At 47.0% G+C, this 14,501-nt stretch overlaps 2 protein-coding genes across 9 annotated transcripts in view, besides 2 other annotated features; both read right to left on the reverse strand.

The window, feature by feature from the left end:
* HSF5 (heat shock transcription factor 5) overlaps nucleotides 1-2,350 on the reverse strand; it is a 68,242-nt gene extending 65,892 nt beyond the window's left edge. For both annotated transcript variants that reach the window (NM_001080439.3, XM_011524283.2), the window contains exon 1: nucleotides 1,667-2,350. In NM_001080439.3, coding sequence (NP_001073908.2) covers nucleotides 1,667-2,216 — 550 coding nt within the window. In that variant the 5' untranslated portion in view covers nucleotides 2,217-2,350. The remainder of the gene's footprint in view (nucleotides 1-1,666) is intronic.
* Nucleotides 1,632-1,751: a silencer, noted in NCBI's record as "silent region_8769". NCBI's record gives its function as "represses an Ori minimal core promoter by ATAC-STARR-seq in GM12878 lymphoblastoid cells {active_cell/tissue: GM12878}" and the evidence as "EXISTENCE:reporter gene assay evidence [ECO:0000049][PMID:35858748]".
* Nucleotides 2,012-2,061: a silencer, noted in NCBI's record as "silent region_8770". NCBI's record gives its function as "represses an Ori minimal core promoter by ATAC-STARR-seq in GM12878 lymphoblastoid cells {active_cell/tissue: GM12878}" and the evidence as "EXISTENCE:reporter gene assay evidence [ECO:0000049][PMID:35858748]".
* A 1,128-nt stretch (nucleotides 2,351-3,478) lies between the features above and the next one.
* The window catches only part of MTMR4 (myotubularin related protein 4), a 29,511-nt gene continuing 18,488 nt past the window's right edge, over nucleotides 3,479-14,501 (reverse strand). For all 7 annotated transcript variants that reach the window (XM_006722168.5, XM_047437019.1, NM_004687.5 and 4 more), the window contains 4 exons: nucleotides 8,874-10,272; nucleotides 6,784-6,894; nucleotides 6,453-6,541; nucleotides 3,479-5,782 (listed from right to left, as the gene is read on the reverse strand). In XM_006722168.5, coding sequence (XP_006722231.1) covers nucleotides 5,605-5,782; nucleotides 6,453-6,541; nucleotides 6,784-6,894; nucleotides 8,874-10,272 — 1,777 coding nt within the window. In that variant the 3' untranslated portion in view covers nucleotides 3,479-5,604. The remainder of the gene's footprint in view (nucleotides 5,783-6,452; nucleotides 6,542-6,783; nucleotides 6,895-8,873; nucleotides 10,273-14,501) is intronic.

Raw genomic sequence — 14,501 nt, forward strand, 5'->3', positions numbered from 1 at the left:
ACTTAATCTCAAAAAGTAAAATAGGCAGGGCGCAGTGGCTCAGGCCTGTAATCCCAGCACTTTGGGAGGCCAAGGCTGGCGGATCACCTGAGGTCAGGAGTTCGAGACCAGCCTGGCCAACCTGGTGAAACCTCGTCTCTACTAAAAAATATAAAAATTAGCCGGGCATGGTGGCACGCGCCTGTATTCCCAGCTACTCAGGAGGCTAAGGAATGAGAATTGCTTGAACCCGAGAGGCGGAGGTTGTGGTGAGCCGAGATCGCGCCATTGCACTCCAGCCTGGGTGACAAGAGCGAAACTCCGTCTCAAAAAAATAAACAAATAATAAAAAATAAATAATCCACTATCACAGAGGGTTTCTTAACTTTTACTAAATACAGATGTATACCAAAAAGTTTTTTCAATACTGAAAGATTGTAGCCAATAGTGAAAACTCCAAAGGCTGTAAATGTGAGCTTTCTAAAATTCTTTTTTAACTAAAACTTGACAGCTGTAAAGAAAACCATCTTTGCCTTATGTTTGTCTAATCATACCCCTTTAAGGAAGCATCAAGCTCTAATTTGCTTCAATGAAAGAAATGTGTAGCCAATTCATTCTACATAGGAACTATATCTTGTAAGCCACGATGTATCGTTGTATTTTTGCTCTTAAGGTATATAAACAACGTCTACCATTCTACACATTAACCAGAACCTTAAATCTGATGATTGTCGTAGCACTTCTAAGATTTCTTAGATGTGCCAATAGGTGGAAGGTGGCAGCCCTCTTCAAGGACAAATTTCCACTGCAGGCACCTTTTCCAAAACTTTCCCTTGCCTGCTATTGTAATGTTCTAAGTTCTCTCTTTTTTTTTTTTTTTTTTTTTTTGAGACCGAGTCTCGCTCTGTTGCTCAGACTGGAGTGCAGTGGCACTATCTCGGCTTACTGCAACCTCTGCCTCCTGGGTTCAAGCGATTCTCCTGCCTCAGTCTCCTAAGTAGCTGGGATTACAGGCGTGCACCACCATGCCTGGCTAATTTTTGTATTTTTAGTAGAGACGAGGTTTCACCCTGTTGGTTAGGCCGGTCTCAAACTCCTAACCTCGTGATGCACCCGCCTCGGCCTCCCAAAGTGCTGGGATTACAGGCGTGAGCCACCACGCCCAACCGTAATGTTCTAAATTCTCTTGACTACGATTTTGTTCCATCCCGCCTTAACCCGTAGGGTGACTCCACTCTGCTTCCCACGGGAGCAAAGGAGCCCCTTTTGTTTCTTCCAGACCCAATGTTTCAACGAAGGACTACTGAGTCCACATGTTTACAGTGGACAGTGTGGGTCTCAGGAAGGTAAACGGAGGCTTACAACCAGGTAAACTCCTGGGGTTCAAACCGGGGACGAGTAGAAGGGAGCCTAAGAGGCGGAGGTCCCTTTTGCTGCCAGTGGGCTCAGAAGGGGCCGAATGCTTACGGACCCTCCAGGGGAGGGCCGGTGGCCACCGTGCTGGTGCCGCTGAGAACGGCGGCGGTGGCGGGACCGCCAGTCTCGGGAAGCACAGCGGCCAATGGGTCCCCGGCGCCTTTCCGACGCCCATAGCGTGAGGACGTGCGAAAATGCGCCCTCCAGCGGCGGTTGCTCCCCGCCGCCCATGTGCCCACTGTGGGCGAGGGCACGGGCAGTCCGGACTCACCGTGCGGCTCGGGCCGGGGCCCCGCGGGCGGCGGCGGCTGCTGGTGCTGCAGTGGCGCGGTGGCGGCGGAGGCCGAGGTGATGAGCAGCCGCTGGAAGCGGTTGGGCGGGCGGCAGGGCACCTCCAGGCCGGCCGCCAGCTTGGCCTTGTTGGCGCTGGTGAGGCGCTTGAGGTGCACGAGCAGCTGTGGCTGGTCGCGGCGGAAGTGCGGGTTGTGGAAGTGATGGAGCGGCCCATTGCCTGCCGGTTTGCCGCCCCCCGGCCCGCCCAGCACCACCTTGCGGAAGCCGTAGAGGTTGAGCTGGCGGATGAAGCTGGTGAAGCTGGTGGTTTTGAAGAGCTCGGGCTCGGCCCCGGCCCCCGCAGTCCCGCCACCGCCCCCCGGCCCGGGCGGGCTGAGCAGCTCGGCCTCGAAGAGCGGCTGATCGATAAGCAGCCCCTCGCCGCGGCCGTCCCAGCGGATGGAGCGGTAGCGCGGGCTGTTCACCAGGCGCCACAGCTTGGCGGGGAAGTTGTTGGGGTTGATGGGGGTGGAGAGCAGCGCCTCCATCGCCCCGCCGGGCCGGGGCCTCGCCCCCCGAGCCTAGCTCTCCCACACCGTTCTCGATCCCTCCCCGGCCTTCGCCTCGCCCTGCCCGCTCCTGCCGGCGCCCATCCGCCGCGTACCAGGGACCGTTGGCGCACGAGGCCCCGCGGCGCCTCCCAGCGCGGCCAATGGGGCCTCGAGTTCCCGCCACGCGGCGTGGGCACCTCCCCCTCGGCGGCCGCGTGCCCCAGCTCGGCCCGCCGGACGCCTGCGGGACCCGGGCAGGAGCCCCTTCCCCAGGCGTTCCCAGACTTCAGGCCGGGAAGGCTGTCTGCCGGGGTGTTCTAAGTCCTGACAAGAGAGAAGCCCAGTTATCCACCGTGGAATACCAAGAGGCGTGTGTTTCGGCCCAGCCAACTAGTGGAGACTTGGAATGCAGAGAAAGTGTGCGTTAGGCAGCAGAGTTGGTCGTTCTGGGGACCAAAGGGTCTGGTCTGTAATCTTTGCTAACAGTGGAACTGCTTACCTCTCAAACAAAAATGATGCTACTGGAGGTATAATATCTTGAGTAAACGAACTCACCTTTTAGATAGTAGCCCTTTGTATCTTTTAAGATACACTCTTTTAAGTCAGTATTTGTTCAAGACAATTTACTCAAGGTTAGATGAAAACTGAGGTCCCTAGGAGGAGGGAATCACAAGAATCTAAGTACTATCTTGTGTGCCTGCCCAACTAGCTGGTGGCATTTTAGACATTAAAGAGAAATAAAGATGGGACAGAATTCTACGGTATCCATAAGAATCGATCCCTAGCCAATCAATAAATAAGAATGTAACAAGAGCTGTGCTGATTCAAAAAGAGAGGTTCATTTGAAAACGGAAATTGGCCGGGCGCAGTGGCTCATGTCTGTAATCCTAACACTTCGGGAGGCCGAGCTGGGTGGACTGCTTGAACCCAGGAGTTCGAGACCAGCCTGGCCAACATGGTCAAACCCTGTCTCTACTAAAAATACAAAAATTAGCCAGCGTGGTAGCATACCTGTAGTCCCAACTGTTCAGGAGGCTGAGGCAGGAGAATCGCTTGAACCCAGAAGGCGGAGGTTGCAGTGAGCCGAGATCGCACCACTGCACTCCAGCCTGGGGAACAGAGGGAGACTCCATCTCAAAATAAATAAATTGGAAATTGCTGGGAGAAAGGGGTACAATGTTCTACTCTTCTCATGGTCAAAGAATAAGTGAATATTAAGTTTTTTTAGAAATGAAAATAAAACGACCCAACAAAGCAGCACTAATATAGAGATTTTATTTAAACTGTATTGAATTTTTACAGCACATTGCATGTTTGTCACAACGCAACTGCACAGTTTGGATTTTTGGCCACATCATGTCACTTACACCCACAACAGCTCTGAAAGGAGTATTTGATGAACACATCTGAGCCAAGAGCCCAGAGTCTCTCTCCAAGGCCATGCAGTTTGTTCACTGATGGGACAGTCCCTCAAAACAGCCACGCTAAGTAGACAGATACAGTCTCCCCAAATGTTACCAATCTTACTCCCCTTGAAAACAGGCAGAGTGAAGTGCAATGAAAGACAAGTTAATTAAAAAGCCACTCACAACTGGCAGTAAATTTTAATGATTGATAAAATGCTTAAAATAATTTTATGTATCAGAAACAAGGAACAGCTTGTTACTTTTTCAATGATCTCAGGAATTTTGCAGACACAAAATCTCCATTATTCAGCTCCATTTAAATGAAAAAAAAAGTTCCGCTAGGCTGACCTAAATATGCCAAAACTTTTTAGGTTACATCTATGGCAAGTACAAAAGAACCACAGATGCGTCTCTGTAGGACTGAAAAGGTCAGGACAAATAATGATTCTTGTTCTAAATGCAGATCCTAGTTATTTTGGAATGAAATGCTGTTTTCTAGAAAGCAACATGAAAGTAGCAGTAAGAAAGATGACTACCATCATTTCAAAACAGGATAAGCCTAAATATAATTTACCATTTATATGTCAACAAATTAAGGAAAACTGTATAAAGTCCTAGTGGTTTCATTATAGGCCAAGGAGACTGTATCTGTCCCACCCACAGTACATGGCTATATCACTGTATCTTTTGGTTAAGTGCCACTGGTACATATTAAGATGAAAAAAAACAAAAACAAAAACAAAAAAACAAAATAAAATTTTTTAAAAACCAACAACGTTTGGTCCAAATGGACACATGTTCTTTCCCAATTTTGGTATCAAGGCTTTATTCTCTTCTGTTTGGGTTCCATTGTTAAGTGCACAGAAATAGACAGCAGCATTTGTACTGAAACCCTCACATACCAAACAGCATATGCTAGGAGGTAAAAACCAAACGCTAAATTCTACCCTCAAGGTGTCAAGTGTTCAGGATAAGAAGCAATGTGACCCAGAGGAGGCATCAGCCAAGGGAAAGACAACATGGGGGAAATGGGCAATGGAACAACAACAACGAAAACCTTTGTTTTATTTTCATGCCAGGAGAGGATCAAGGTGTAGCTCCTGTGTTAGCACCAGGACAACTAGGAAAAGTCAGGTGCAAAGAGTAGGGCACAATCAGCAGATATTTCACAAGGATAATTTTTGCTTTTCCCTTCTCATTCTTCACAGTGCATAACTCAAGAGCTGCCACTGTGTAACAGAGACGACTGCCTTCACAGCTCAAAATAACTCAATGTTTGCCAGGACCGAACATCAGCAGAGTTTTCCTCTGCTCCCAAAAATGTCTCACTCCCTAGAACTGTTCCCCTAAACTGAATATTCACCAATGCTGGCTGATGAGCCAACTGAAAAATACATTGAAACCTCCACTTGCTGAGCCAGTCTTCAAACCAAACTCCACAGAAAGACAGTACTAATGCAACTAGAAGGAGTGCCTCTAAAGGCTGAGCCTTCATGCAGACACAGAGCACAGAGGTACAGGATATAGTTCATCTCAAATAGGACAGGAATTCCTACCTTGTATACTATAATCTGCTTTTGTCAAGGTGGAGGAGAGATGGGTCTGGTTATCACTTGGAGTTTGGTTATACATATGCCTTTCTATTGCTGTTTGGGGCACTTTGCACCAGGCAACATCTACGCAATCATCATCTTGTGACCTCCAGGAGAAAGAGGCTGGAGTCACCAACTCAACATTAAGCTTCCAGACCCTGGGTCTGGGTTAGGACCATTACCCCAAGGTGAGGGTATCACCAGTAGAGGACCTCCTGCTAAATTGCAATTCCTCTGCTCCAGTTTCATGATACCAAGGAGGATTTCTCAAGATGGTATCTCTGAGCTCTGTGATTTCATGAGCCACACCAAGGAACCTTCCAAACTACAACTGAAGAAGATCCTCCCTTCAAACCTGCTAAAATTGGACAGGTTTCTCCCCGGCATTCAACTGGAAGCTGTAGCAATGGGTTTCTTCAGCTGTTGGCTCATGAGTTCCCTGGCACGAGAGACTTGAATGTGTTCGTAACATGAGTTACAGACGAGAACTGGGTCATAGAGTTGCTGATCAGGAATGGGCAGCTTCAGGTGGCAGCATCCAGCACAAAATACATTCCCACAATTTCTGTCAAAGCAGAAAGAGGGAAGAGTTCATCAGAAATGCCAATATACTGGCCAGGCAGGGTGACTCACACCAGTAATCCCTGCACTTTGGTAGGCTGAGGCAGTAGAATCGCTTGAGGCCAGGAGTTTGAGACTTGCCTGAGCAACATAGCAAGAGCCCATCGCTAATAAAAAAATAATTAATTAATTAATATTAAGAAATGCCAATATACTGAGAATGAGTGATACTAAATGAAAAGTTGGGGACAAACAAAAATAGTTTCTATAAAGAGGTGTCCACTTCCAAACTAATTCCACTTAGTTCTATACATATGTATTACACTATTTTTGTTTTTGTTTTTTGTCCTTTTTGAGACAGAGTCTTGCTCTGTTGCCAGGATGGAGTGCAGTGGCGTAATCTCGGCTCACTGCAACCTCCAGCTCCCTGGTTCGAGCTATTCTCCTGCCTCAGCCTCCAGAGTAGCTGGGATTACAGGCATGCGCCACCACGCCCAGCTAATTTTTGTATTTTTAGTGGAGACAGGTTTTACCATGTTGGCCAGGATGGTCTCAATCTCCTCACCTCATGATCCGCCTGCCTCGGCCTCCCAAGGTGTTGGCATTACAGGTGTGAGCCACTGCGCCTGGCCTGCCCTGTTTTTTGTCATACTAAATCATACAAAACATCTTACCTGCAATGGTGTCTTCGTTTGGCCAACCAGAATTCACAGTCACAGTTATAGCAGTGTGATGCCATATGGTCTGGAACCCAGCGAGTCACCTAATAGAAGGCACAAAGAAAAATTCCTGGTCCTTGTTGACAGACTGGAAGAGCAACATTGCAATGAGGAAAGCACCCCAGCAGAAAGAGACAAGGCTTATCTTCATAACTGGCTACCATTTGCCTACCAGGCTGACACTCCTCTGGGGGACAGCTCAGTCTACAGCATGTCATTCATCTCTGGAAAATATGATGACTCACTGGCTCACGTAAGTACCCACCACATATGTGCCTAAACATACCTCAGTCTCTTTCTTATCAACAGGTTCCCAGCTTGCTTCTGAAAGGCAGTCTTCACTGTGATCAGAGCCAAAATCCTCAGTATCACTGCCATCTGACTCCTTCAAACATGTCTGATGAAAAGGCAAAGACAACAAATTATCTTCATCATCATTAACGCTTACTGTTTACCATGTGTCAGGCACTGTGCTAAGTGCATTACACACATGAACTTATTTCTTATGACAGTCTTACAATGTATACTACTAATATCCCCATTTTACAAATAAGAAAATGAAGCCACAGAGAAAGAGCTGATACGTAGTAAAGCTGGGATTTGAACCTAGTATTGTAGCTTCAGATTTACACTCTTACCGATATGCTACACCACAGCATAGAAAGACTCTTGTTATGTTCTAAACCAGGGGTTGGCAAGCTATGGCCCACAGGCCAAACTAGCCCACTGCCTGTTTTTGTAAATCAGGTTTTGCTGGAACACAGCTGCATTCATTCATTTACTTACTGTCTATGGCTGCTTTTTGTTTTGTTTTTGAGACAAGGTCTCGCTCTTTTGCCCAGGCTGGAATGCAGCAGCATGATCACGGCTCGCTGTAGCCTCAACATCCTGGACTCAAGAGATCCTCCCACCTCAGCCTCCTGAGTAGTTGGGACCACAGGCGTCCACCACCATGTCCAGCTAATTTTTTGTAATTTTTGTAGAGATGGGGTTTCACCATGTTGCCTAGGCTGGTCTCAAACTTCTTGGCTAAAGCAATCCACCTACCTCGGCCTCACAAAGTCCTAAGACTACAGGCGTGAGCCACAGTGCCTGGCTACGGCTGCTTTTGCACAATAGCAGAGCTGAGTAGTTGCAACATAGACGGTATGGCCCACAAAACCTAAAATAGTTATTATTTGGCCTTTTACAAAAAAAAAAAAAGTTTGCTGACTCCTGTTTAAAGCACCAGAGAAGTGAGAAGCAGGCAAGTGGGGAGCACCTTAACAGAAGGAAGGAAAGTGTCTGTGTAAATGGCAAGATACCATGGAGAGGAAGCTGGCTCCTAGAAGCTCCCCAAGGACTATGGTGCCAGAACCTGAGGCTGCCCAACACTGCACAGCCTATAGTCTTCATCTCTCACCTGGATTATTCCAAAATGACCTTACCAGCCTCCCAATCTGGGTCTCAACTGCCTCATTAAAATTGTACACTGTTGGGCCGGGCGCAGTGGCTCACGCCTGTAATCCCAGCACTTTGGGAGGCCGAGGTGGGCGGATCATGAGGTCAGGGGATCGAGACCATCCTGGCTAACACAGTGAGACCCCATCTCTACTAAAAATACAAAAAAAAAAAATTAGCTGGGCATGGTGGCGGGCGCCTGTAGTCCCAGCTACTCAGGAGGCTGAGGCAGGAGAATGGCGTGAACCCGGGAGGGCGGAGGTTGCAGTGAGCTGAGATTGCACGACTGCACTCCAGCCTGGGTGACAGAGCGAGACTCCGTCTCAAAAAAAAAAAAAAAAAAAAATTGTACATTGTTGCAAGAGTCATTTTCTTAAACTACAACTCTGATCATATTGTGCACTGGCCTAAAATTTTATTGCCTTAAGGGTAAAATCCAAACAAGAAGGGCACTCAACCTGACCCTTGTAATCTCCACCTAATTCTCCAATGTCACCTCCCACCACCCTATTTGACTGTCTCTCATAGCCCCAGTGTAAGCGTGTATGCATGCATGTACACATATATACTCGCATGTCCCATCTTTTTAAGCCATATCATTGGAGTATCTATTGCCACTACGCTTCTGCAAATGGTGTTTTGTTTTCACTGTCTACCTGGCTAAGTATCACACATTCTTCAGCACTCAGCTCAAGCATTACCTTCTCAAGAAAGTCTTCCTTGACGTTTCACTCCACTCCAGCCCTCTAACACCTGATGCCTCCTCAATCATAGCACTTAAAAACATCATTCTAATTGCTTACTTGTTTTTCATCCTATAGCCCAGGCACCTAACTCAGTGGCACACAGCAAGTACCCAACGAATAAATGCTGAATGGAGGGAAGGCTGGATGAACAGAGTAAATAATGGGTGTATGGCAGTTGGTGACTACTTACAAAATCATCCTCATAGTCCATGGGGGGCTCTGCTGGAGGGGCACAGCAGTGACGGATGTCCAGCCTCATCTGAAGCTCACGCACCTGTCGACGTAGCTGCTCCACCTCTTGTTTGTACCCTGCTTCGATTTGCCGTAACCTATGCTGGATCACATCCGTGGGAAAGGGGAGTCCATCATCATCCAAATACAGAGGAGGCACTGGAGAAGGGCAGTTCAGTGGAACGGGCTTTGTGCTAGAGACTTGCTTTGGATGACTGGACAACCACATCTGGTTCTTTCCTCCTGGGCCAGTACAATGTCCATTGGAATGACTAGAACAGACAGGTGACTTCACACCTTCTCTCTGAGCCCACTGGCCCCCAAAGCAGGGCCCTGTGGCCCGCATCTGCTTACTGTTTGGCCTCTTGCTACAACAGCCATAGGAAAGCAGCCGCCGAGGGGTGGCCTCCCCACTTGGGAATGAAGTCACCATCCCTTGGAAGCTGTCCCAGTTGGACCCTAGAAAAGAGAACTCACTGATCTGGCTCTGAGAAATTGGCTTCCGGACCAATTCCAATGGCATTTTCCCAAAGCGAGGATTTTCCAATAACTGCCCATTCCTATTATTTCCTCTTTTACCAATGTCTTCCTCCCCATGGGTCAGATCCGGCACAGAACTCAGTTGTTCCTGGTGGGAGATACTTGCCACAGACCCTGAGGGATCTTGGTTGAGGAAGTCAGTGCTTGGGTCTAGAGGAGTTTGGCAGGCAGCACTCGGTGGGTTGCAAACGGTGCTGAGGCTGTGATCAAGAACACACTTGGAGGGCACACCTAGCATGGAGTCTGGCTGGGCCTGTTGGGGCGTACCTGTAGGAGAGTTCTGGGAAGACTCAGGAAAATTACAAACTCCATCACACTTGTTAGAAATGACCTTGGAGAGTGCACTGACAGCTTCTGTTTCAGGACAATGTTCAGGTGGCTCCCCTATGCCATCTAAAGTCCTACCCAGCTCATCCTGGGCAGAAGGGTCTGGAGCTGGTCCCTTAGTCTCTTCTAGGACTTTGATCTCAGGATCAGAGGTGTTGCTCTTCATTTCCCGAGGCACTGCGGTATTAAGCAGTTTGTAACTTGGAGAACAGCTTTTGTGACTCTTGAAAGGTTTATTGCTCAAGTAGTCTTTCTGGCTGCTGGGCAGAGGAGGAGGAAGACCCACTTCTCCTACAGTTTGCTGAGGCCCTCCTACCCCAGAGTCCACAAAGCTTGTCTCTGATCCCTCAGGATTGCTGTGCCAGGGCTCCAGGCCTACCCTGACCTCCTGACAGTGGTTATTCAGGTTAGGGTCACTGGATGTACGAGTCAGGGGGCTGCTTGTGTCACAGGCAGAAAGAAGATCATCCATGGATCTGGTTTTAGGTAATCTGGAAAGACAAATATAACACCTCCAGGTCAGGAGATGGGCACTTGCAATACAATATATGGAACTGAATCAATGGAGCAATATCAAAGCCAGAGTTTAGAAATAATGACACTTAAGAACACTTAAGTTTAGAAATAAGGACCCTTAAGATCACAAATAACCAATGTTCACTGAAAGTTTACTCTGTAAAAAAAGCATGAGACATGGACCGTGTCCTCCGGAACCCAAAAATCTATCCTCAGCTTTTGTCAGCACTCAACCTACCAGTCTCCCTGGGCAATCTCAACCACTACAGTGGTTTCAGCTGCCTTCTATGCCAATGCCTTCTGAATCTACTGTTCCAGCTAGGACTATACCTGAGACTCAAACCCAATATCCCACTGCCTCCATCACAGTAAAACAGAAAGAAGATGGGTTTTGGAGCTAGACAATATTGGCTCTGACGCTAATTAGCTACATGACTACAAATAAGTAAATTAACCTCTCAGATACTTGGTTTCTCCCTTTATACAATGATGATAATAAATCATACCTTGTAGAGATGCTATGAGAATTCAAAATACAGGCAACCAACCACAAACATAATAACCACAAACTTTATTAAGACAACACAACTCCCTCAACACTGCTCTTGATAACCACTTAGCAGCAGTGTGCTCCTCTGCTTCCCAAGGCCCCATGAAACTTCCCCTAGTATATAGCACTCAGAGTTCTAGAGGCATTCATATATACCAGATAGGTTAAGGGACATTTTCAAGAGTGACCATCCTGATTATTAATGCAGTTCAAAGTCCTTAGAGCAATGAAAACTTGAGTGAAATTCACCAGGGAAACAGTAGAGGCTTCACTGGCCTCCTATTTTTAGATGGCTCAGTCAGTTCAGCCTATGCGGAAAAATTCCCCAAAGGCAGTTACAACGCAGCTTATTTTAAGTAATCGGTTTTTGAAACTTAAAACAAATGTTTTATACATACTTGATATACCTTTTGTGACGAATTTTGATTTTTTTAATGGTACGAAATTCCAGGAAGGCAATAACAGTGGTTATCATTATAGTTCCTGGAGTCCCATAGGCAGGGTTCAAATCCCAATTTAACAACATCTTTGCTGTGTGACTTTAACTTCTCTACGCCTCAGATCCCTCATCTATGGAATAAAGGTAAAGTACCTAGCTCTTAAAGCTATTATGAAGATTAAACAAAAGAATCCACATCAAAGCACATTGCTCAGTGCTTCCTATAACACATTATTGCACTTTATTGTTTACTTGTTTAACTCCCTCTACTGAAGTGTCCTGAAGGCAGGACTCTGTCTTATTTGAATCCCCAGCGCCTAGCACAGTACCAGGGGCAAATGACTTGAGAAATGAATGAATGAGCTCAAAATACAACATGAGGTTTCCACTGCTAGGTGCCAATTGAATGTGTGATACACATCAGGCATCTTAGTGGATCTTCTTAGACATCCAGACAACCAGGGTCCACCCAAGACCTACTGAATAAGAATGGCCAAGAGTGGGGCCTAGGGATCTGTATTCTTTTAAGTGCCACAGCTGACTTCTTTCATTTTATTTTTTATTATGGAAACTTTCAAGCATACAAAAGAAGTAAAGAATATGCTGGGCACAGTGGCTCATGCCTATAATCTCAACACTTTGGGAGGTCAAGGCAGGCAGATCTCTCGAGGCCACAAGTCCAAGACCAGCCTGGCCAACATGGTGAAATCCCATCTCTACTAAAAATACAAAAACTAGCTGGGCATGGTGGTGCATGCCTGTAAACCCAGCTCCTACTTGGGAGGCTGAGGCATGAGAATCGCTTGAACCTGGGAGGCAAGAGGCAGAGGTTGCAGTGAGCCGAGATCGCACCACTATATTCCAGCCTGGGTGACAGAGCAAGACTCTGTCTCAAACAACAACAAAAAGAAGAATATAATTAACTTCCATGTGCTCTTCATCCAAATTCAAATAACAACATTCTGCCATCCTCCACAACTCATTCTATGTGTACCAAAGGTTAGTCAGCAATGTTGACAGAGATAATAATACCTGAGTTTACAACAAGGAGAGAGAGCTCATCCAGCTAGGAGGTCAAGGAAGGCTACAGAGAGAGGGTAGGATTTGAGATGGGTATAGAAGAATGTGTTTATGACTTTAATGGAAGAAGAAGAAGAAGGAGGAGGAGAAGGAGAAGGAGAAGCGGGGGAGGAGGGGGGAGGAGGGGGGAGGAGGGGGAGGAGGGGGAGAAGAAGGAGAAGAAGAAGGACATTTTTGATCTAGGGAAAGGTAGAATCAAAGGTAAGTCAGGTCAGTTGTTACAGAGACCATTTCCTTTAAAATCTTTATACCAATTATTTCTCGAAATCTACTCTCCATCTTGAGCTGCCTACAACACACCTCCTTCTTTGCTGTCAACTAATATTTCAATCCCAATTTCCCTGTATCTCCGCTTTCTCCCCAAACTGGCTGGTCTTCTCGACCTTTCAATGTCTATTAGTGGTACTAATATTCTCCTACTTTTTAAGCTCAGATACTTGGGACCCAAAGTACTTTTCACTTCTACTCTCCAACTTTCAATTCTGTAGCCTGCCAATGGTTCTCTACAGTGCTTCTGAATTTAATCCTTTCTCTTTGCCAGGGACTCTTCCCCTCATATCTGAACTACTACAGCAGTGCTGGCTGGTCTCTGTGCCTCCAGCTACCCTGTACTCACTGATTAGTTCTCCAAGGATCCCACTGTCAGCAGACCACAGTAACTTCCTACAATGACTTCCTATTGACAACTGAATCAAAATAAACTCTTCACTGTAATGTTTAAAGCCTTCAATGCCCTCAATGACCTGTCCTATATTTCCACTATTCCTTAAAATAGCCCCTTCTCAACCCCTGCCAGCCACAGAACTTCTTTTTTTTTTAAAAAAAAAAAAACTACCTCTCACCCAGGTGCAGTGGCTCACACCTATAATCCTAGCACTTTGGGAGGCCAAGGTGAGCGGATCACTTGAGGTCAGGAGTTCGAGACCAGCTTGGCCAACATGGCGAAACCCCGTCTCTACTAAAAATACAAAAATTAGCCAGGTGTAGTGGCACACACCTGTAATCCCAGTTACTCGGGAGGCTGAGGCAGAAGAATCACTTGAACCCGGTGGGCGGAGTGAGCTGAGAAGATCATGTGACTGCACTCCAGCTGGGCAATGGAGCGAGAAAACCCTACCTCTCATGTATCCACTTGCTTTGGACCCCTCTCCACTAACCTTGTTACTGAGCTCACAACTCCCTTTATTTCATTCATTTGTCCAGTTTTTTTTTTTTTTGAGACAGTCTCACTCTGTTGCCCGGGCTGGAGTGCAGTGGCGCGATCTCTGCTCACTGCAAACTCCGCCTTCCCAGGTTCATACCATTCTCCTGCCTCAGCCTCCAGAGTAGCTGGGACTACAGGCGCCTGCCACCACGCCCGGCTAATTTTTTTTTTTTTTGTATTTTTAGTAGAGACGGGGTTTCACCGTGTTAGCCAGGATGGTCTTGATCTCCTGACCTCATGATCCGCCCGCCTCGGCCTCCCAAAGTGCTGGGATTACAAGCATGAGCCACCACGCCCAGCCATTTGTCCAGTTTTAAGTAAATTTTTACTTTAGTAAATTTATTTAAATTTACTTATTACGTGCCAGGTTCTAAGCCAGATACACAGAACACAAAAAGACCCACAGTTCTTGTCTGGTCCTTCATGAAAATTTCCTGAGTAAAACAGCCACCAAGTGACCCTTTTAAAAAACACATCATTTCTCTAAAGCTTTGAACTACACACATTTGTTTTTTTGAGACAAGGTCTCGCTGTGTCACCCAGGCTGGAGTGCAATGGCATGATCACAGCTCACTGCAGCCTCAACCTGCTGGGAGCAAACAATCCTCCTACGTCAGCCCTCCAAGTAGCTGGGACCACAGGCGCACGCCACCATGCCTGGCTAATTTTTGCATTTTTTGTAGAGGTGGGGTTCTACCATGTTGCCCAGGTTGGTCTCAAACTCCTGGGCTCAAGCAATCTGCGCACCTTGGCCTCCCAAAGTGCTGGGATTACAGGCATGAGCCACTGCACCCAGCCTGAACTACACACATTCTTATCTGCTTAGATGTTGACTTAGAATTGTTCTCTAGTTGGCCGGGTCTGGTAATCCCAGCACTTTGGGAGGCCGAGGCGGGTAGATTACGAGGTCAAGAGATCGAGACCATCCTGG

This window comes from Homo sapiens, chromosome 17, assembly GCF_000001405.40.
Source record: "Homo sapiens chromosome 17, GRCh38.p14 Primary Assembly".
Classification (NCBI taxonomy): Eukaryota; Metazoa; Chordata; class Mammalia; order Primates; family Hominidae; genus Homo; species Homo sapiens.